Source organism: Homo sapiens, chromosome 8 (assembly GCF_000001405.40).
Source record: "Homo sapiens chromosome 8, GRCh38.p14 Primary Assembly".
Classification (NCBI taxonomy): Eukaryota; Metazoa; Chordata; class Mammalia; order Primates; family Hominidae; genus Homo; species Homo sapiens.
The window spans coordinates 84,988,372-85,010,481 of record NC_000008.11 but is presented as its reverse complement, the minus strand read 5'-3'; the positions used below and the strand labels follow the sequence as shown (position 1 = coordinate 85,010,481).

Below are 22,110 nucleotides of genomic sequence, written 5' to 3'. Positions count from 1 at the left end.
CCAAGTGGAATTTGAACAATGTACCTGGGTATATATTCTCTTTAAATGCACTTGCATCCACAGCAGGACCTGTTGTAATATTCCCTGAAGTGAATGATGCAGTTTCTAATTCAATTATTTTCATTTTATTCCAAGTCTTCATAAGAATCAAGACTGTCATGTATAAAATGTATCAGCATGTGCCACTCTGAGCTGAGTGAGAAAATGAATTTACAACTTATCTTTTTCTAACCAATGCTTTTTTAATCACCTTCTCAGTTTCCTTTGACAGGTTGATGTGCTCCAGAGCTTCAGAAGGGCTTTATGATTTAAATCAGTTTCATATATTAAAATGACTAACAGGCCAAATTAGCTCGTATTTAATTGGTTCACTGAGTATACTAATATTAATGTTATATTATTTTTAATAATAACTACTATCAATTTTTTAATGCCCATGACATACTATGCTCTATGCTAAAAATATTATGCTTACATTAATTATCAATTGTAGAACTGAGAAGAATAATGCAAGATGACTAATACTAGAACCATTTTATAAATAAGAAAAATGGGGGTTGGAGAAGTTGAGCATCTTGGCTTCTGTTGAATATGAACCCTTATTATAATCCATACCTACCTCCATCTTGTGCAGGTAATATAAGTTCCACTATGACATCCAAAACCTGTGAGTTGATAAAACTGAAGCAAAGATTCTATTTACTTTATAAAATGTTCAAGCAACCACAGCAGTCATTTGGTATGCTCCAAACAAGTGAGTGTACACAACCTTTAAATTAGGTGATCTAGTGTTTTAGCTTCACCCTAACTTTCTGCATAATATAGATCCCACATTATAGCTTCACAAGTAACAGCATTCATAACCACTACTCACAGTGTTACTAGGAGGAAATTCCAACAAGCTTTAATTTTTATATACAAAGGGGGATAATACCCTGACACCAGACCAGAGCAGTTTGGAGAGTTCAGCAGGAGATGCACAAGAGGGTGTAGGGAGTCTTTGCAGAGGTGGAAGGCAGGACCAATAAGGGTGAGTTACCCAAAAAACAGAGCTCCACCTGGAAAGAAACTTCTGAGAGTAGATATTATGCCTGATGGGTCATAACACCAACAAAGGGGAATTACAATGAAGGGTCCCAGAAAGTGAATCTGTGGGTGAAAGAGAGTCACCTTAGAAGGTTGAGGTTGTACTGTTTAGAGACAGCAACTACTAGTACAGGATAGAGAAGAAAGGAGGTAGTTTATAGTATGATTCAGCTGAAACAAGATAGATTCTGAAAATCAAAGGTAGCCTGACCATAAAAAAGCATCATATATTAAAGAAACTATTCTTCACAGAGCAACTGAAAAAAAATCCTTGAGAAGAGGAAATGAAACAGACATAAACGGGGTCACCCAAAATGATATAAAAAAGTCAATCAAAAAAGATAATCGTATTCATTTCTTAGAGCTACCATAACAATGTACTACAAACTGAGTGGCTTTAAACAATAGAAACTTAATTGTCTCACAGTTCAGGAGGCTAAAGTCCAAAATCAAGGTGTCAGCGAGGCCATGCTCCCTCTGAAACCTGCAGGGAAATCAATCCTTCCTTGCCTCTTCCCAGAGTCTGGTGGTTTGCTGGCAATCTTTGGTATCTTTGGCTTGCAGCTTCAGGACTCCAATCTCTAACTTTGTTGTCACATGGCATTCTCTCTGTGTGTTTGTTTCTTCACATGGCTGACTTCTTATAAGGATGCCGTTCATACTCAATGAGGGGTCCACTCTACTACAATATAACTTCATTTTAACTAGTTTCCTCTGTAATGACCCTATTTCCAAATAAAGTAATATTCTGAGGTACTTGGGGGTTATGACTTCAACCTATCTCTTTTAGGGCAGTGCAATTCAATCAATAACAATTACATATGTATTTATATGATAATATATGTATATATACATATATTTTTCCCCTGAAGTATATATATTTTTCCATATAAATATATATGTTTCCCCTGAAGAAGAGAACTAAAATAATTAAGCATAAAACATGTGTAAAATTATAATTCAAAATTCAAGAAGCTTTCAAGAAATGAAAACTTAAGAAATAAAAAAGACCTGCATATATATTGCAAGCAGATACTACATATCTGGTAAGATGACAAAAATGTTAACTCAAGCATATCCTGATAAAATTATTAAACTTAAAAAAATGCTTTGGGTGTCTAGGCAGAAAAAAAGTTACTTAAAAAGAAAAGAAAATTAGATTGCCATACTTTTCTCTGCCTAAACATTAAAGTCTAGAAGAAACTCAAGCAACAGCTACAAGATACCAATGGCAATGAATGTGAGATTCTAATCTAGATTAGATTAGAATTAGAATTAGGTTAGAAATTCTAATCTAGTCCAGCTGACCTTCAGTATAAAAAGAAATGGCAAAATGCAGAACTCAGGAAATATTATGTCCCTAAGCTCTTGAAGAATTTATTAGAGAAAATCTTGATTTAACTAGTAAATGGTTGGGAAAACTTCATAAATAGGACTAATGATGAGGAATGAATTTATTTAACTATAGATTTAAGACTAAAACAAAATTCCAGATTGGTGGTGTTAAACTATGTCCACAAATTATTTGATATGCTCCTCCAAGAGGCCTCCAGTTTGTGTGGGCTGGACTTAGTGACTCCTTCCAAATGGAAAAAACAAAAAGCAGAAGTGGTGGTGTGTGACTTGAAGACTAGGTCATTAAAAAAAAAAAGCCTGGCATTCCCCTTTTTCAGTTCACTGGCTATTTTAGTCAGTTTGAGCTACTTGCCCTGAGAAACATCATCACCATAGGCTGTGTTATTCATAACAACAGAAATTTGTTTCTCACAGTTCTGGAGTGATTAATATACCAGTAAGGTCTGGTTCTGGTGACAGCCCTCTTCCAGATTGCAGACTGCAAACTCCCCATTGCATCTTCACATAGGCGGAAAGGGAAAGCTCTCTGGGATTCCTTTTATAAAAGCACTAATTTCATTCATGAGAGCCTCAGCGTCATGACCTAATTACCTCCCAAAGGCCCCATTTACTAATACCATTACACTGTGGGCAAGGAATAAAACATAATGAATTTTGGAGGGACACAAACATTAAGTCCACAACACTTGTTCTTTTTTTCTTCCTGACAAATGAGATTTTTTAAAAATTTTTTATTTCCATAGTTTTTGGGGAACAGGTGGTATTTGGTTACATGAGTAAGTTCTTTCATGGTGATTTGTGAGATTTTGGTGCACCCATCACCCGAGCAGTATACACTGAACCCTATTTATAGTCTTTTATACCTTACCCCCTTCCCACTCTTTCCTCCTGAGTCCCCAAAGTCCATTGTGTCATTCTTATGCCTTTGTATCCCCATAGCTTAGCTCCCACTTATGAGTGAGAACATACGCTGTTTGGTTTTCCATTCATAAGTTACTTCACTTAGAGTAACAGTCTCCAGTCTCATCCAGGTTGCTGTGAATGCCATGAATTCATTCCGTTTTATGGATGAGTATTATTCCATCATATATACACCACAGTTTATTTATCTGCTCGTTGATTGATGGACATTTGGGTTGGTTCCACATTTTTGCAATTGTGAATTGTGCTGCTATAAACAAGCATGTGCAGGTATCTTTTTTGTATAATGATTTCTGTTCCCCTGGGGAGATACCCAGTAGTGGGATTGCTGGATCAAATGGTAGTTCTACTTTTAGTTCTTTAAGGAATCTCTGCACTGTTTTCCACAGTGGTTGTACTAGTTTACGTTCCCACCAGCAGTGTAGAAGTGTTCCCTTTTCACCACATCCATGACAACATCTATTTTTTTTTATTTTTTGATTATGACCATTCTTGGAGTAAGGTGGTATTGCATTGTGGTTTTGATTTGCATTTTCCTGATCATTAGCAATAGTGAGCATTTTTTCATATGTTTGTTGGCCATTTGTATATCTTATTTTGATAATTGTCTATTCATATCCTTAGCCCAAGTTTTGATGGCATTGTTTGTTTTTTTTCTTGCTAATTTGTTTGAGTTCATTGTAGATTCTGGATATTAGTCCTTTGTCATACATGCAGATTGTGAAGATTTTCTCCCACTCTATGGGTTGTCTGTTTACTCTGCTGACTGTTCCTTTTGCTGCGCAAAAGCTCTTTAGTTTAATTACGTCCCTGCTATTTATCTTTGTTTTTATTTTATTTGCTTTTGAGTTCTTGATCATGAAATCCTTGCCAAGCCAATGTCTAGAAGGGTGTTTCCAAAGTTGTCTTCTAGAATTTTTATAGTTTCAGATCTTAGATTCAAGTCTTTGATCCATCATGAGTTGATTTTTGTATAAGGTGAGAGATGAGGATCCAGTTTCATTCTCCTACATGTGGCTAGCCAATTGTCCCAACACAGTTGTTGAATAGGGTGTCCTTTCCCCACTTCATGCTTTGTTTTGCTTTGTCAAAGATTAGTTGGCTATAAGTATTTGGGTTTATTTCTGATTTCTCTATTCCGTTCCATTGGTCTATGTGCCTATTTTCATACCAGTAGCATGCTGTTTTGGTGATGATGGCCTTATAGTTTAGTTCGAAATGAGGTAATGTGATGCCTCCAGATTTGTTCTTCTTGCTTAGTCTTGCTTTGACTATGTGGGCTCTTTTTGGGTTCCATATGAATTTTAGGATTGTTTTTTTCTAGTTCTCTTAAGAATTATGGTGGTATTTTGGTAGGGATTGCATTGAATTTGTAGATTGCTTTTGGCAGTATGGTCATTTTCACAATATTGATTCTATCCATCCATGAGCACGGGGTGTGTTTCCATTTGTTTTTATCATCTATGATTTCTTTCAGCAGTGTTTTGTAGTTTTCCTTGTAGAGGTCTTTTACCTCCTTGGTTAGGTATATGTTCAAGTTTTGTTTTTTTGTTTTTTTGTTTTTGCAGCTATTGTAAAAGTGGTTGAGTTCTTGATTTGATTCTCAGCTTAGTTGCTGTTGGTGTATAGCAGAGCTACTGATTTGTGTATATTAATTTTACATCCTGAAACTTTGCTGAATTCATTGATCAGTTAAAGGACCATTTTGGAGGAGTCATTAGGGTTTTCTAGGTATACAGTTTTGTCATCAGCAAACAGCAATAGTTTAAATTCCTCTTTACCAGTTTGAATGTTCTTTATTTCTTTCTCTTGTCTGGTTGTTCTGGTTAGAACTTCCAGTACTATGTTGAATAGAAGTGGTGAGAGTGGGCATTCTGGTCTTGTTCCAGTTCTCAGAGGGAATGCTTTCAACTTTTCCCTATTCAGCATTATGTTGGCTGTGGGTTTGTCATAGATGGCTTTTATTACATTGAGTTATGCCCCTTGTATGCTGATTTTGCTGAGAGTTTTAATCATCAAGGGATGCTACATTTTGTCAAATGCTTTTTCTGCATCTATTGAGATGATCATGTGATTTTTGTTTTTAATTCTGTTCATGTGGTGTATCACATTTATTGAGTTGCATATGTTAAACCATCCCTGCATCCATGGTATGTAACCCATTTGATCCTGGTGGATTATCTTTTTGATATGTTGTTGGATTTGTTTACCTAGTATTTTGTTAAGGATTTTTACATCTATGTTCATCAGGGATATTGGTCTGTAGTTTTCTTTTTGGTTATATGCTTTCCTGGTGTTGGTATTAGGGTGATACTTCATAGAGTGATTTAGGGAGGATTCCCTCTTTCTCTATCTTGTGGAATAGTGTCAGTAAGATTGGCACCAATTATTCTTTAAACGTCTGGTAGAATTCAGCTACGAATCCATGTGGCCTTGGACATTTTTTGTTGGTAATTTTAAAAATTATTACTTCAATCTCATTGCTTGTTATTGTTCTGTTCAGAGTATCTAATTCTTCCTGATTTAAGTTGGGAGGGTTGTATATTTCCAGGAATTTTCCATCTCCTCTAGGTTTTCTAGTTTATGTGCATAAATGTGTTCATAGTAGACTTGAATGATCTTTTGTATTTCTGTAATGTCAGTTGAAATATCTCCCATTTTGTTTCTAATTGAGCTTATTTGGATTTTCTTCTTTTCTTGGTTAATCTTGCTAATGGTCTATCAGTTTTATTTATCTTTGCAGAGAATCAGCTTTTTGTTTCATTTATTGTTTGTATTTTTTGTTTCAATTTCATTTAGTTCTGCTCTGATCTTAGTTATTTCCTTTCTTTTGCTGGGTTCGGGTTTGTTCTGTTCTTGTTTCTCTAGTTCCTTGAGGTGTGACCTTAGATGTCTACTTGTGCTCTTTCAGGCTTTTTGATGTAGGACTTTAGGGCTGTGAACTTTCCTCCTGTCACCACCTTTGCTGTATCCCAGAGATTTTGTTAGGTTGTGTCATTGTTATCATTCAGTTCAAGAATGTTTTAATTTCCGTCTTGATTTCATTGTTAAGCTAATGATCATTCAGGAGCAGGTTATTTAATTTCCATGTATTTGCTTGGTTTTAAAGATTCTTTTTGGAGTTAATTTCTGCTTTTATTTCACTGTCATTTGAGAGAGTACTTGATATAATTTCAATTTTCTTAAATTTATTGAGACTTGTTTTGTGGTCTATCATATGGTCTATCTTGAAGAAAGGTTCATGCACTAATGAATAGAATGTATATTCTGCACTTGTTGGGTAGAATGTTCTGTAAATATCTGTTAAGTCCATTTGTTCTAGGGTATAGTTTAAATCCATTGTTTCTTTGTTGACTTTCTGTCTGATGACTTGTCTAGTGCTGTCAGTAGACTATATGTAGAAAGCGGAAACTGGATCCCTTCCTTACACCTTATACAAAAATTAATTCAAGATGCATGAAAGACTTAAATGTTAGACCTAAAACCATAAAAACCTAGAAGAAAACCTAGGCAATACCATTCAGGACATAGCAATGGGCAAGGACTTCATGTCTAAAACACCAAAAGCAATGGCAACAAAAGCCAAAATTGACCAATGGGATCTCATTAAACTGAAGAGCTTCTGCACAGCAAAATAAACTACCATCAGAGTGAACAGGCAACCTACAGAATGGGAGAAAATTTTTGCAATCTACTCATCTGACAAAGGGCTAATATCCAGAATCTACAAAGAATTCAAACAAGTTTACAAGAAAAGAACAACCCCATCAAAAAATGGGCAAAGTATATGAACAGACACTTCTCAAAAGAAGATATTTATGCAGCCAAAAGACACATGAAAAAATGCTCATCATCACTGGCCATGAGAGAAATGCAAATCAAAACCACAGTGAGATACCATCTCACACCAGTTAGAATGGCAATCATTAAAAAGTCAGGAAACAACAGGTGCTGGAGAGGATGTGGAGAAATAGGAACACTTTTACACTGTTGGTGGGACTGTAAACTAGTTCAACCATTGTGGAAGTCAGTGTGGTGATTCCTCAGGGATCTAGAACTAGAAATACCATTTGACCCAGCCATCCCATTACTGGGTATATACCCAAAGGACTATAAATCATGCTGCTATAAAGACACATGCACACGTATGTTTATTGGGGCACTATTCACAATAGCAAAGACTTGGAACCAACCCAAGTGTCCAACAACGATAGACTGGATTAAGAAGTGGTTTCCAAGCAAAGATGAAACAAACTACGGTGCAAGAAAATCTTGGTCCAAATTTGAAGCACCAGGTGTGGCTTCCACCCTTATTCGAATTATTTCTGAAGACCTCAGAGAGGTCTATGGTGGTGCATAAGAGGACCATTCAATGAAAAGGCCTTATAAAGAGCTTAATGACATGCTTCACTGAGGCATATCTCCCAATGGTAGTATTTCTAAGTTTAAAGGCTTTATCTCTCAGCCACCTGAGCAGAAGCTTAAAAGAGAAGGGGAAGGCCTATCCTGAGGAGATTCATGAGAATATCTTTTATCTAATGGAGTAAACCCTCATGAAATTCACAGAAAACTCAAGAGTTTTTAATAAAACTATGTTTTCAGAAATCTTCCAGCTTAGACTGAAAGGGACAGAGATAATATATAGTAAAAGAGATGTTGAATTCCCCAAAATTCTGGCATGAAACTGGATGAGAAACTATGCAGCTGCAAACATGGCTTACTTTTTTTTAAAAATGGAGTTTCACTCTTTTACCCAGGCTGGAGTGCAGTGGCATGATCTCGGGTCACTGCAACCTCCGCCTTCTGGTTTCAAGTGATTCTCCTGCCTCAGCCTCCTGAGTAGCTGGATTACAGGCACCCGCCACCACGCCTGGCTAATTTTTTTGTATTTTTAGTAGATACGGGGTTTCACCATGTTGGCCAGGTCTCGAACTCCTGACCTCATGATCTGCCCTCCTCGGCCTCCCAAAGTGCTGGATTACAGGCATGAGCCACCACGCCTGGGCCTATTCTTGAAAAAGGAGGATGACTCAGAGGGTGAAACCATGAGCCCAGAGGGTGTAGCCAAGAGCCATGGAGAATGATTCCTAGGCGGGAGTAGAACTGAGCTCTGATCAAGGAATTTCAATGTTTGCCTGGCTGAATTTGCAGAATTGCTATAGATGAATGACTCCTTGCCTGTCCAATCCCCTCTCTCCTTTAACAGGGATTGCTTAGAGGTTGTCTTATACCTGTCCTGCTATAGTATGATTGGCATATTAGTTGGAAGATAACTTATCTCTTTAGTTCACAGGTTTTCAGGTCTAGGGAAGCTATGCTTGAGAAGCTGTACTAATAAAACCATGCCCAAGGAACCTCAAATGCACCTGAATTTAGACGACAGATGCTGAACTTCAGGTTGATGTTATAATGGTATAAAACATGTAATATCCCTGAGAGGGGAGGATGTATTTTGCATATGGAATAAATATTTGTGATAAAGGGATTACCAGTGTTTTTTCTAAATATGTCCAAAAATTTTTGATACTGCTCCCTTCAAGAGGTATAGCCTAATTCCTTTCCCCTCAGCCTGAGCTGGACATAGTAATTTGCTTCTAATGAACACAAAAAAAGCAAAAGCAATGGTATGTAACTCCAGAGACAAGGTCATAAAAGGCACTGTAGCTTTTTTTCTTTGTCTTGGGTCACTGACTCTGGGGGAACCCAGCTGCCACGCCAAGAGGATGCTCAAGCAGCCTTATAGAAATACCCATATGATGAAGAACTGAGACCTACTGCCAATCACCATCAAGGAAATGAGGCATCCATAGAAAGATCTTAGAAATGGCTCTACCAGCTCCAATTTAGCTGTCAGATGACTGCTACCCCAGTCAACATCTTGATTGCTACCTCATGAGAGACCCTAAGCTTGAACCATCCAGCTAAACTATTTGTGGACTCTCCATCCTTAGAAACTGTGTGAGATAATAAATACTTGTAGTTTTAAACTATTAAGTTTTGAGGGTAATTTGTTACACAACAAAAGACAAATACTGGATTAGGGATAAATGCTGTATGATCTGATAATGTAGAAATAAAAAAATCAAAAATTGGAAAAATGGAGTGGGGAGAGGAAAAGAAGAAACACTTCATTGATTATCTCGAAGATGGGCATCAGAGAATATAATAAGCTGAAAAATCAAGTACTAAACTCTGAATCATAAGTAAAAGATAAATACTTAGAAAGCCAATACCATTGGTTCAAACTGAATGAGAGGAGGGTGAAGAGAGATGAGAAAAGATTCTAATCAAATGGAACAATTAATTGCTAAAATTGAAAATTAATTCATTGGAACTAAATTAGAGTACAAAATAAGCAGAAGAACCAAATTTCTCACTGATATGGTCAGAAAAATGTTATGAAGCTCAATTTTTTTGCCTAGATACAAGACATGGATTCATGACCAAAAAATACATTATTATTTTTTTCCTCCTATAAATGTGACCAATTCGCTCCAGTTAATGATCTAATTATAACACAATGTCTCCTTTTAAAGAGAAGATGTTTCAGTTATTTATGTGCTTTTCTGCTTGGCTAACACCATAATATAAAGAGTATATTAAATTTATCAGGATATTATACAGTCACTTTCACAGAAAGTGACTATATAGAAAGGCTATAGTTCCCTAGACAGTAGAAATAAAATAACCTAGAATGAAATAATCCATATGTACATTAAAATAAAATTTGTAAAAATGAAGCCTGCCAGATATGAGTAGAAATGATCTCATTGTAAAATCTTCAGGTTCTCATTTCTTGGAAAAGCCATAATTATAACCTTATCTTTTTAGAGACCAATTACTATATTCATGGTACTTTCTGAAAAAAATGCTTTGCTATTTTTATGACTTGCCAATCTGTATTTCCAACTCTAAGAATAGAAATCTACAACATAGCAATTTCCATAAATAAGAAGTCTGAAATAAATGACACTAGTCTATCAAAACACAAGTATAAAACCTTTAAATTTTAGGTGAAATGTAAAGTAGAAAGCCTTTATTAGCATAAATAAGTTACTTAGATGATATCCTTCACATCTTTCCAAGTTATCAAATTAGATCATTAGAGCCTCCAAATTGGCAAGAAAAAAAGATGTCTGTACCACACAAAGTAAATTGGCCAACTTATCTAATGAGCTAATTCGTAGTACTACAAGGAAAAAGTATCTGATTTGCATTCTCAAAATATAAAGGTTTAAAAAATCTTGCCATTCTAAAAAGGACAACTATAAAAACTAATGTTCTTACTTTCAGTTTTTCTTACTAAACTAGACTTTCACAATGTAAGCACTATTCTTGGGGTGTGTGTATGTGTGTGAAAGTGGAATGTGCAAGAAAGGTGTGTGGATGGGGAACATGGCAGCACCCCCATAACACACCATTCTCTCATGCTTCTCATTCTGGAGAAACACCACCAGAATCCCATTCAGTCCTCCGATGAGACCATTGTTCTAATACATCACCCTGCAATCATTTGGAGAATACAAGCAAAAGTCTTACACAACCTCCCTAGAACACACCTGATATTTGACTATCACTTCAAAGACAACAGACCATCTAATCACTCTTGAAAAGTTACACATATGTGCTTCAGTTACACATATGTGATAATTGCTTGAATTGACTCTTTTCCTCTAAAATGTTGACTTAGGAGAAAAGCACCTCTTTTTTTATTATTACTATTATACTTTAAGTTTTAGGGTACATGTGCACAACGTGCAGGTTTGTTACATATGTATACATGTGCCATGCTGGTGTGCTGCACCCATTAACTCTTCATTTACATTAGGTATATCTCCTAATGCTGTCCCACCCCCCTCCCTCCACCCCACAACAGTCCCTGGTGTGTGATGTTCCCCTTCCTGTGTCCATGTGTTCTCATTGTTCAATTCCCACCTATGAGTGAGAACATGTGGTGTTTGGTTTTTTGTCCTTGTGATAGTTTGCTGAGAATGATGGTTTCCAGCTTCATCCATGTCCCTGCAAAGGACAAGAACTCATCATTTTTTATGGCTGCATAGTATTCCATGTGTATATGTGCCACATTTTCTTAATCCACTCTATGATTGTTGGACATTTGGGTTGGTTCCAAGTCTTTGCTATTGTGAATAGTGCCCCAATAAACATACGTGTGCATGTGTCTTTATAGCAGCAGGATTTATAATCCTTTAGGTATATACCCAGTAATGGGATGGCTGGGTCAAATGGTATTTCTCGTTCTAGATCCCTGAGGAATCGCCACACTGACTTCCACAATGGTTGAACTAGTTGACAGTCCCACCAACAGTGTAAAAGTGTTCCTATTTCTCCACATCCTCTCCAGCACCTGTTGTTTCCTGACTTTTTAATGATCGCCATTCTAACTGGTGTGAGATGGTATCTCATTGTGGTTTTGCTTTGCATTTCTCTGATGGCCAGTGATGGTGAGCATTTTTTCATGTGTTTTTTGGCTACATAAATATCTTCTTTTGAGAAGTGTCTGTTCATGTCCTTTGCCTACTTTTTGATGGGGTTGTTTGTTTTTTTCTTGTAAATTTGTTTGAGTTCATTGTAGATTCTGGATATTAGCCCTTTGTCAGATGAGTAGGTTGAGAACGCTTGTAGGTTGTCTGTTCACTCTGATGGTAGTTTCTTTTGCTGTGCAGAAACTCTTTGGTTTAATTAGATCCCATTTGTCAATTTTGGCTTTTGTTGCCATTGCTTTTGGTGTTTTAGACATGAAGTCCTTGCCCATGCCTATGTCCTGAATGCTATTGCCTAGGTTTTCTTCTAGGGTTTTTATGGTTTCAGGTCTGACATGTAAGTCTTTAATCCATCTCGAATTAATTTTTGTATAAAGTGTAAGGAAGGGATCCAGTTTCAGCTTTCTACATATGGCTAGCCAGTTTTCTCAGCACCATTTATTAAATAGGGAATCCTTTCCCCATTTCTTCTTTTTGTGAGGTTTGTCAAAGATCAGATAGTTGTAGATATGTGGCATTATTTCTGAGGGCTCTGTTCTCTTCCATTTGTCTATATCTCTGTTTTGGTACCAGTACCATGCTGTTTTGATTTCTGTAGCCTTGTAGTATAGTTTGAAGTCAGGTAGCGTGATGTCTCCAGCTTTGTTCTTTTGGCTTAGGATTGACTTGACAATGCGGGCTCTTTTTTGGTTCCATATGAACTTTAAAGTAGTTTTTTCCAATTCTGTGAACAAAGTCATTGGTAACTTGATGGGGATGGCATTGAATCTATAAATTAGCTTGGGCAGTATGGCCATTTTCACGATATTGATTCTTCCTACCCATGAGCATGGAATGTTCTTCCATTTGTTTGTATCCTCTTTTATTTCATTGAGCAGTGGTTTGTAGTTCTCCTTGAAGAGGTCCTTCACATCCCTTGTAAGTTGGATTCCTAGGTATTTTATTCTCTTTGAAGCAATTGTGAATGGGAGTTCCCTCATGATTTGGCTCTCTGTTTGTCTGTTATTAGTGTATAAGAATGCTTGTGATTTTTGTACATTGATTTTGTATCCTGAGACTTTGCTGAAGTTGCTTATCAGCTTAAGGAGATTTTGGGCTGAGATGATGGGGTTTTCTAGATATACAATCATGTCATCTGCAAACAGGGACAATTTGATTTCCTCTTTTCCTAGTTGAATGTCCTTTATTCCCTTCTCCTGCCTGATTGCCCTGGCCAGAACTTCCAACACTATGTTGAATAGGAGTGGTGAGAGAGGGCATGTCATGCCAGTTTCCAAAGGGAATGCTTCACATTTTTGTCCATTCACTATGATATTGGCTGTGGGTTTGTCATAGATAGCTCTTATTATTTTGAGATACATCCCATCAATACCTAATTTATTGAGATTTTTTAGCATGAAGTGTTGTTGAATTTTGTCAAAGGCCTTTTCTGCATCTATTGAGATAATCTTTTGTCTTTGGTTCTGTTTATATGCTGGATTACGTTTATTGATTTTCGTATGTTGAACCAGCCTTGCATCCCAAGGATGAAGCTCTCTTGATCGTGGTAGATAAGCTTTTTGATGTGTTGCTGGATTCGGCTTGCCAGTATTTTATTGAGGACTTTTGCATCAATGTTCATCAAGGATATTGGTCTAAAATTCTCTTTTTTTGTGTGTCTCTGCCAAGCTTTGGTATCAGGATGATGTTGGCCTCATAAAATGAGTTAGGGAGGATTCCCTCTTTTTCTGTTGATTGGAATAGTTTCAGAAGGAATGGTACCAGCTCCTCCTTGTACCTCTGGTAGAATTCAGCTGTAAAAATTAGACAAATGGAGACTAGAATAATCAATGCAGAGTAGTCCTTAAAGGAGCTGATGGAGCTGAAAACCATGGCACGAGAACTATGTGATGAATGCACAAGCCTCAGTAACTGATGTGTTCAACTGGAAGAAAGGGTATCAGTGTTGGAAGATCAAATGAATGAAATGAAGTGTGAAGAGAAGTTTAGAGAAAAAAGAATAAAGAGAAACGAACAAAGCCTCCAAGAAATATGGGACTATGTGAAAAGACCAAATCTACATCTAATTGGTGTACCTGAAAGTGATGGGGAGAACGGAACCAATTTGGAAAACACTCTGCAGGATATTATCCAGGAGAACTTCCCCAATCTAGCAACGCAGGCCAACATTCAAATTCAGGAAATACAGAGAACGCCACAAAGATACTCCTTGAGAAGAGCAACTCCAAGATACATAATTGTCAGATTCACCAAAGTTGAAATGAAGGAAAAAATGTTAAGGGCAGCCAGAGAGAAAGGTCGAGTTACCCCCAGAGGGAAGTCCGTCAGACTAACAACTGATATCTCGTCAGAAACTCTACAAGCCAGAAGAGAGTGGGGGCCAATATTCAACATTCTTAAAGAAAAGAATTTTCAACCCAGAATTTCATATCCAGCCAAACTAAGCTTCATAAGTGAAGGAGAAATAAAATTCTTCACAGGCAAGCAAATGCTGACTGATTTTGTCACCACCAGGCCTGCCCTAAAAGAGCTCCTGAAGGAAGCACTAAACATGGAAAGGAACAACCAGTACCAGCCACTGCAAAAACATGCCAATTTGTAAAGACCATCAAGGCTAGGAAGAAATTGCATCAACTAACGAGCAAAATAACCAGCTAACATCATAATGACAGGATCAAATTCACACATAACGATACTAACCTTAAATGTAAATGGGCTAAATGCTCCAATTAAAAGGCACAGACTTGAAAATTGGATAAAGAGTCAAGACCCATCAGTGTGCTGTATTCAGGAAACCCATCTCACATGCAGAGACACACATAGGCTCAAAATAAAGGGATGGAGGAAGATCTACCAAGCAAATGGAAAACAAAAAAAGGCAGGGGTTGCAATCCTAGTCTCTGATAAAACAGACTTTAAACCAACAAAGATCAAAAGAGACAAAGAAGGCCATTACATAATGGTAAAGGGATCAATTCAACAAGAAGAACTAACTATCCTAAATACATATGCACCCAATACAGGAACACCGAGATTCATAAAGCAAGTCCTTAGTGACCTACAAAGTGACTTAGACCCCCACACAATAATAATGGGAGACTTTAACACTCCACTGTTAACATTAGACAGATCAACGAGACAGAAAGTTAAAAAGGATATTCAGGAATTGAACTCAGCTCTGCACCAAGAGGACCTAATAGACATCTACAGAACTCTCCACCCCAAATCAACAGAATATACATTCTTTTCAGCACCACACCACACGTATTCCAAAATTGACCACATATTTGGAAGTAAAGCACTCCTCAGCAAATGTAAAAGAATAGAAATTACAACAAACTATCTCTCAGACCACAGTGCAATCAAACTAGAACTCAGGATTAAGAAACTCACTCAAAACTGCTCAACTACATGGAAACTGAACAGCCTACTCCTGAATGGCTACTGGGTACATAACGAAATGAAGGCAGAAATAAAGATGTTCTTTGAAACTGACAAGAACAAAGACACAACATACCAGAATCTCTGGGACACATTCAAAGCAGTGTGTAGAGGGAAATTTATAGCACTAAATGCCCACAAGAGAAAGCAGGAAAGATCTAAAATGGACACCCTAACATCACAATTAAAAGAACTAGAGAAGCAAGAGCAAACACATTCAAAAGCTAGCAGAAGGCAAGAAACAACTAAAATCAGAGCAGAACTGAAGGAAATAGAGACACAAAAAAACCTTCAAAAAAACAATGAACCCAGGAGCTGCTTTTTGAAAAGATCAACAAAATTGATAGACCGCTAGCAAGACTAATAAAGAAGAAAAAAGAGAAGAATCAAATAGACACAATAAAAAATGACAAAGGGGATATCATCACCAATCCCACAGAAATACAAACTACCATCAGAGAATACTTTAAACACCTCTATGCAAATAAACTAGAAAATCAAGAAGAAATGGATAAATTCCTCCACACATACACTCTCCCAAGACTAAACCAGGAAGAAGTTGAATCTCTGAATAGACCAATAACAGGCTCTGAAATTGAGGCAATAATTAATAGCTTACCAACCAAAAGAAAAGCTCCTCTTATTCAAGGTTGACATAATCTGTCAGTGTTCCTCCTGAGCAAATGAATAAAGACCTGGTGAACCAGCTTGGAAACGGAGTCAGACAAGCGTTGAAGGAAAAATGATCTCTCAAAACTGACAGTGCCTCTGGTCATCTTTATCAAGATCCCTCCTTGCCAAAAATTGCCCTGCCAACTTCACTTTTTAAAAATGTTTAGCTCCTGAAATTCTTTATCCTCTCAACTTTTATATTTATTCAGAGAACAAATAGGACATCTTCAAGTAGACTGAAACTGAAATTGATTATCAAATTTCTTTTGGATTATCATTCAGGGTTTCTCTGTAATAGCAATGCTGACATTTTGGGCCAGACAATGCTTTGTCAAATGGGGCAGCCCTGTGCATGGTTGAATGTTTAACAGCATCCCTGAACTCGACTCACTAGATGCTGACCTTGACAACCAAAAGCATCTTGAGACATTGCCATATGTCCCTGAACAAATAAAGCCTCTCCCGTTGAGAATCTTTAGATTTACATGTTTTGTTTTTCTTTTATGTTTGTAATAGATGTACAGAAGAACTAAGACTACATAAACACTCAAACTGAAAAAGAAAATTAAATCTCTTAAGGTAATAATAAAAGTACTTAGAAGCTCTTCCCAGGTCAAAAATAAGCCTCAGTCCAGAAAGTTGCTGAGAATAATGTTATGCTGGTTAATTTTATATGTCACGTTGACTGGACCATGAGGTACCCACCTATTTGACCAGACTTTATTTTGGGTGTTTCTGTGAGGACATTTTCGGATGAGATTAGGATTTAAATTGGTTAAGTGAGTAAAGCAGATTGCTCTCCCTAATATGGCTAGGCCCCTTCCGATTAGTTGAGGTCCTGAATAGAACAAGACTAACCCTCTCCCAAGAAAGAATTCTGCCTGCCTACCTACCTTTCAACTAGGACATTGACTTTTTCCTGACTTTGGACTAGCACTGAAACATTGGTTCTTCCTGGGTCTTGAGCCTGCCAGCCTTCAAGCCTTCATACTGGAGCTATCATAAGCTCTCCTGGGTCTCCAGCTTGCCAACTCTCCCTGCAGATCTTGTAACTTTTCAGCCTTCATAATTGTAGAAGCCAATGTCACATATATACATATGTACAGTATATTATATATATACACATTCTTCTTGACCTATAATGGGGATGTATCCCAACAAAACCATTGTAAATTGAAAATATTGTAAGTCAAAAATGCATTTAATAGATCTAACCTACCAAATATAATATCATAGCTTAGCTTAGCCTAGCCTGCCTTAATGTGCTCAGAACACTTATATTATCCGACAGTTGGGGAAAATCATCTGGCAACAGTACTCTGTAGAGTATTGGTTATTTACTCTGGTGATCATGTGGTTGACTGGGAGCTATTGCTCACTGCCACTGCTCAGTATTGTAAGACAGTGCCATATCACATATCACTAGCTTAGGAAAATATCAAAATTAAAAAGTCAAAGTACAGTTTCTACTGAATACATATCATTTTGCACCATGGTAAAATCAAAAAATCATAAGTAAAACCATAGTTAAGTAAAGAAAATGTAGTACGTATACACCATGAAATACTATGCAACCACAAAAAAGAATGAGATCATGTTCTTTGCAGGAGCATGGGTGGAGCTAGAGGCCATTATCTTTAGAAAACTAATGCAGGAACAGAAAACCAAACACCACATGTTCTCACCTAATAAGTGAGAGCTAAATGATTAGAACACGTGAACACAAAGAGGGGAACAAGAGACACTGGGGCCTACTGCAGAGTAGAGGGTGTGAGGAGGGAGAGGAACAGAAAAAACAGTAATTGGGTACTCAGCTCAGTACCTGTGTGACAAAATAATCTGTACATCACACCCGTGTGCCACAAGTCTACTTATATAACAAACCTGCACATGGACTCCTTAACCTAAAATAAAACTTAAAAAAAAAGTTGGGGACCATCTGTATATGATTTTTTAATAATACTAAAATTATTCTAAATAGTCATAAATGTATAGTATATCATATCTACATAGTTATAAAAGTATAGTGTGTATACACACACACACAAAGACATAAATATATTTCGTATTGATTCTGTTTCTCTGGAGAATCCTGACCAATACAATTGACCAGGTGTTTTGCAGGCAGAAAGCAGGGAGGAGGAGAAAGGAAGACCTGGTTAGGCATCTTCACTCAAAGATAAAGTCTGGTACACAAATATATATTGAATTACACTGAGCTAGTCAGTGGCTCAATATATGAAAACCATAATTTGGCTCTCCCAAGTTTTACATTCAATATCCAAAAGGGAAAGTTAGTCTTTATACTCCAGCTACAAGCAGGGCTTATTTTCTTTTTCATAAGCCTTATGTGGCTATAGATTACTTTATTAACTTTCCTTGTCCATGAAATAAAACAGTCTAATCCCTTTAGTATAAGTTCTCTTTATCTCTTTTTTATAATTCCATTAACTTTGTAATAAAATCTCACTTCTGTTTCATGTCCAATTTGTGAATTCCAGCAGAATTTGCCTTCCCTTGTGGCACATTGTTAAAGATGAGAGTTATGTTTCCAGGATCCCATTCCTATATGTTTCAAGGTTAGAATTGGCCAAAAGAGCAGTTTGGCAGCTCTTGGAAGGTTGAAGTGAAATTCTTTATAGTCGGATAGGTTGGCACGCATTTGCAGATAGCCCCAGCAGGTCCCAGTTTATCCTTCATTTTACATCCAGTTCTTTTTTCTACCACTTACCTCATTGCCTGACAGTGGTCCTAGCCCAACACAGATGTTTGGCTGCAGACCCACACAGGGGGCAGCTGAAGTGGAGCAATGGCTTCCCATTCCTTCATCCCCTCCGTGAATGTCTCCCTTCCAATCCCCTTTGGTGGCTGTGACTGCTTTCCCAAATGCACTGTTAACAACTATTTTTCTGGCCCTCCAAGCCCTCTTCTGGACTTTTTTTTAACCAAATTCTTCCACAATTGTATAGGTCTAAATCCTATTTTTAAAATTCCTCATTTTAAAACACTCACAGTGACTCTGTTCTCCTGACTGAAACCTGACAGATACATGCCCCACTTTGCCTATGTTGTATTTTGGAATATAGTATAACCCACAGAAATGGTGCTTTAAAGCCCAGTCAACAATAGGAGCCTCCTTGGACACAGCTTCGCATGTGTTCAGTCAGTTCCCTCAGGTATTTTTTCCTTGGATTCCTCATTATTATGGACTGAATTGTTTCCATCTCTGATGTGGTTTGGCTTTGTGTCTCCACTTAAATCTCATCTTGAACTGTAATCCCCATGATTCAAGGGAGGGAGGTGATTGGATCATGAGGGTGGTGTCCCCCATGCTGTTCTCATGATAATGAGTGAGTTCTCAAGAGATCTGATGGTTTTATAAGTGTTTGACATTTCCTCCTTCACACTCATGCTCCTTGCTCTCCTGCCACCTTGTGAAGAAGGTGCCTGCTTCCCCTTCCGCCATGATTGTAAGTGTCCTGAGGCCTCCCCAGCCGTGTGGAACTGTGAGTCAATTAAACTTCTTTTATTTACAAATTACCCAGTCTTAGGGAAATTCTTTATAGCAGTGGGAAAACGGACTAATACAACTTCCAAAAAGATATATTGAAATATTAACCCTCAATATCTCAAAATATGATCTTGACAATTTCCAAGTAAGATCTTTGCAGATTTAACCAAGTTATTGATGAGGTCATTAGAGTAAGCCCTAATACAATATGATTGGTGTCCTTATAAAAAGTGGAAATTTGGACATAGACCCACACAGAGGGAAGAAAATATGAAGATACAGAAAGAAGAAATTCAAGTGACTGGAGTGATGCATTTATAAACTAAGGAATACCCAGAATTGCTAGAAAACACCTTAAAACTAGAAGAGGCAAGGGAAGATTCTCCCCCAGAGCCATGAGAGAAAGCATGGCCCTGATGACAACTTGATTGAGGATTTCTAACCTCCAGAACTGGAAAACAACACATTTCTGTTGTTTTATGCCACCTGGTTTTTGGTACTTCGTCAGAGCAGCCCTGGGAAACAGATGTCTGTCATACTGCCTCCATCCATGTGAGGCCATTGTGAGGTCACAGCTATCTTGAGCATAGCTGTCTTTTAGTCTGATCTCAGAAGAAGAAAACTATTTTCCTTTCTATTAACAATGGAATGGTTGCATCCATAATCCCCCATGGCACAATTGATTCTAGGTTATTAAATTTGATGATATGTTTCTGGGGGTACAATAAAAGGCAAGTCAACACAAGGAGTAATTTACAACCATTGTCCAGGCCAAGACCTATTCTAGATTCTTTACCAGAATCTTCATGACCCAGAGAAGCTTACTATTTTTTCCAGCAGCATCCCCTAACACACTCCATCTGTGAGAAAATGACTTTCACCTCACTTCAGTCGAAAACCCATCTCCTGAGCCTTGCCCTGACCTCTTACCAGAATGACTGAAAATTAAAATGTTTCTACTCTGCAGAAGAAACCACACTCCTATCAATTCAAAGCATGTGATCTATCCCTGTGACCTTAACAAAACAAACTTGTAAAATTGTAATAGTACATTTTTCAGTTTAGATTAGAAAAAAAATCTTGCAGTCCAGTCTTACAATTTGTCTTCTGGTGATGATGTGAAAATGATCAGGATATAATAAAATGTAAAACCATGTTATTAGTCCATAATCATCGAGTTGAGATCCAGTAAAGACAGAAATTGAGAAGTCTGGTAGTTTTTATCATTAGGCCAGTGACCAATTCCAGAAAAAGTGACTCAATGACTGAGCAGTGTTCTTGACAGCTTCAGAGTCAGGGGGAAGAATTTGAATCCTGGGGCCCTTCTTTTTTTGTGATTGGGACCCTGAAAGACTGCACTGCTGGAATAAAGGTGCACCAGAAGTAACAGCCCTCACAAAAAAATGCATCCCAGCTTACACCATCTATGTGATTCAAAAAATTTTAATTCATTAAACTGGCTTTAGGAAATCTCAGATACAGTCAATCCTCATTATCCAAGGATTTTATATTTGCAAATTTGCCTACTCACTAAAATTTATTTTTAAACATAAAATCAATGCTCACAGCACCTTTATAGTCATTCACAGATGTACACAGAGTCACCCAACATGTGCTTTCCCAACTGAGGTTAAACAACAAAATGCTCAGCCTTCTCATTCAATGCCATACAGTAAACAAGTGTCATTTTTGCAGTGTCTTTAGTGCTGTGTTTTCACATTTCGTGCTTTTTGATGGTGATTTTGTTACTTTAAATGGCTCCCAAGGGTAGTGCTGAAGTGCTGCATAGCGTTCCTAAGCACACAAAGGCTATGTTGTGCCTTATAGAGAAAATGTGTGTGTTAGATGAGCTTCCTTTAGGCATGAGTTCGAGTGCTGTTGGCTGTGAATTCAATGTTAATGAGTCAACAATATGGTACGTTCAGAAAAAGAAAGAAAAATCACCAGTCTGTACATGAGGCCACTTAAAAAGTGCTGATGTAATATCTATATTGTGTAATGAAGCTATGGAAAAGATGGAAAATGGCTACTTGTGGGTTCGTGAGATAATGACTTAAAAAGAAGCATAGTGGACAATGTTTTTGTAGGCTGAAAGCTAAAGAAATTTACAGTCATATTACTCAGAGTTTATGAAAATATTAAACCCCTCTAGCTAGTGCTGGTTGGCTTGAAGCTTTTAAAAGGCAATACACCTAAAAAATGTTAAAGTTTCAGGCAAGGCACGTTTTGCAAATCCGGAATTTACAGAAGAATTTTTAAAATACCTGCTTAGTGTTATAGGAAAACGGATATGTGGAAGATCTGGTTTTCAGTACTGATTAGACTGGCTTGTTTTATCAGGATGTTGGCAAATGAACCTATAATAGCACAAATAGACTCCAAAGCTCCTGGCTTTTTTTTTCAAATATAATGTCTGGCACATAATCAAAGATAATACACAGGGGAGTTAAGAGTTAATGAAGAAAAGCCAGCAGGAAAAAATAGATAATACAAAGAGAACAAAGGTCTTCAAATACTGGAATTATCAAACACAGACTTTTAAATAATTATGCTTATGTTCAAGGAGATAAAATAATGTCTTCAAAGAGATTTTAAAAATGGTTGCAAATATAGTAAAGATGA

General features: G+C 37.2%; 1 annotated feature.

The window, feature by feature from the left end:
• Window positions 1,058–1,137: an enhancer, noted in NCBI's record as "active region_27588". NCBI's record gives its function as "activates an Ori minimal core promoter by ATAC-STARR-seq in GM12878 lymphoblastoid cells {active_cell/tissue: GM12878}" and the evidence as "EXISTENCE:reporter gene assay evidence [ECO:0000049][PMID:35858748]".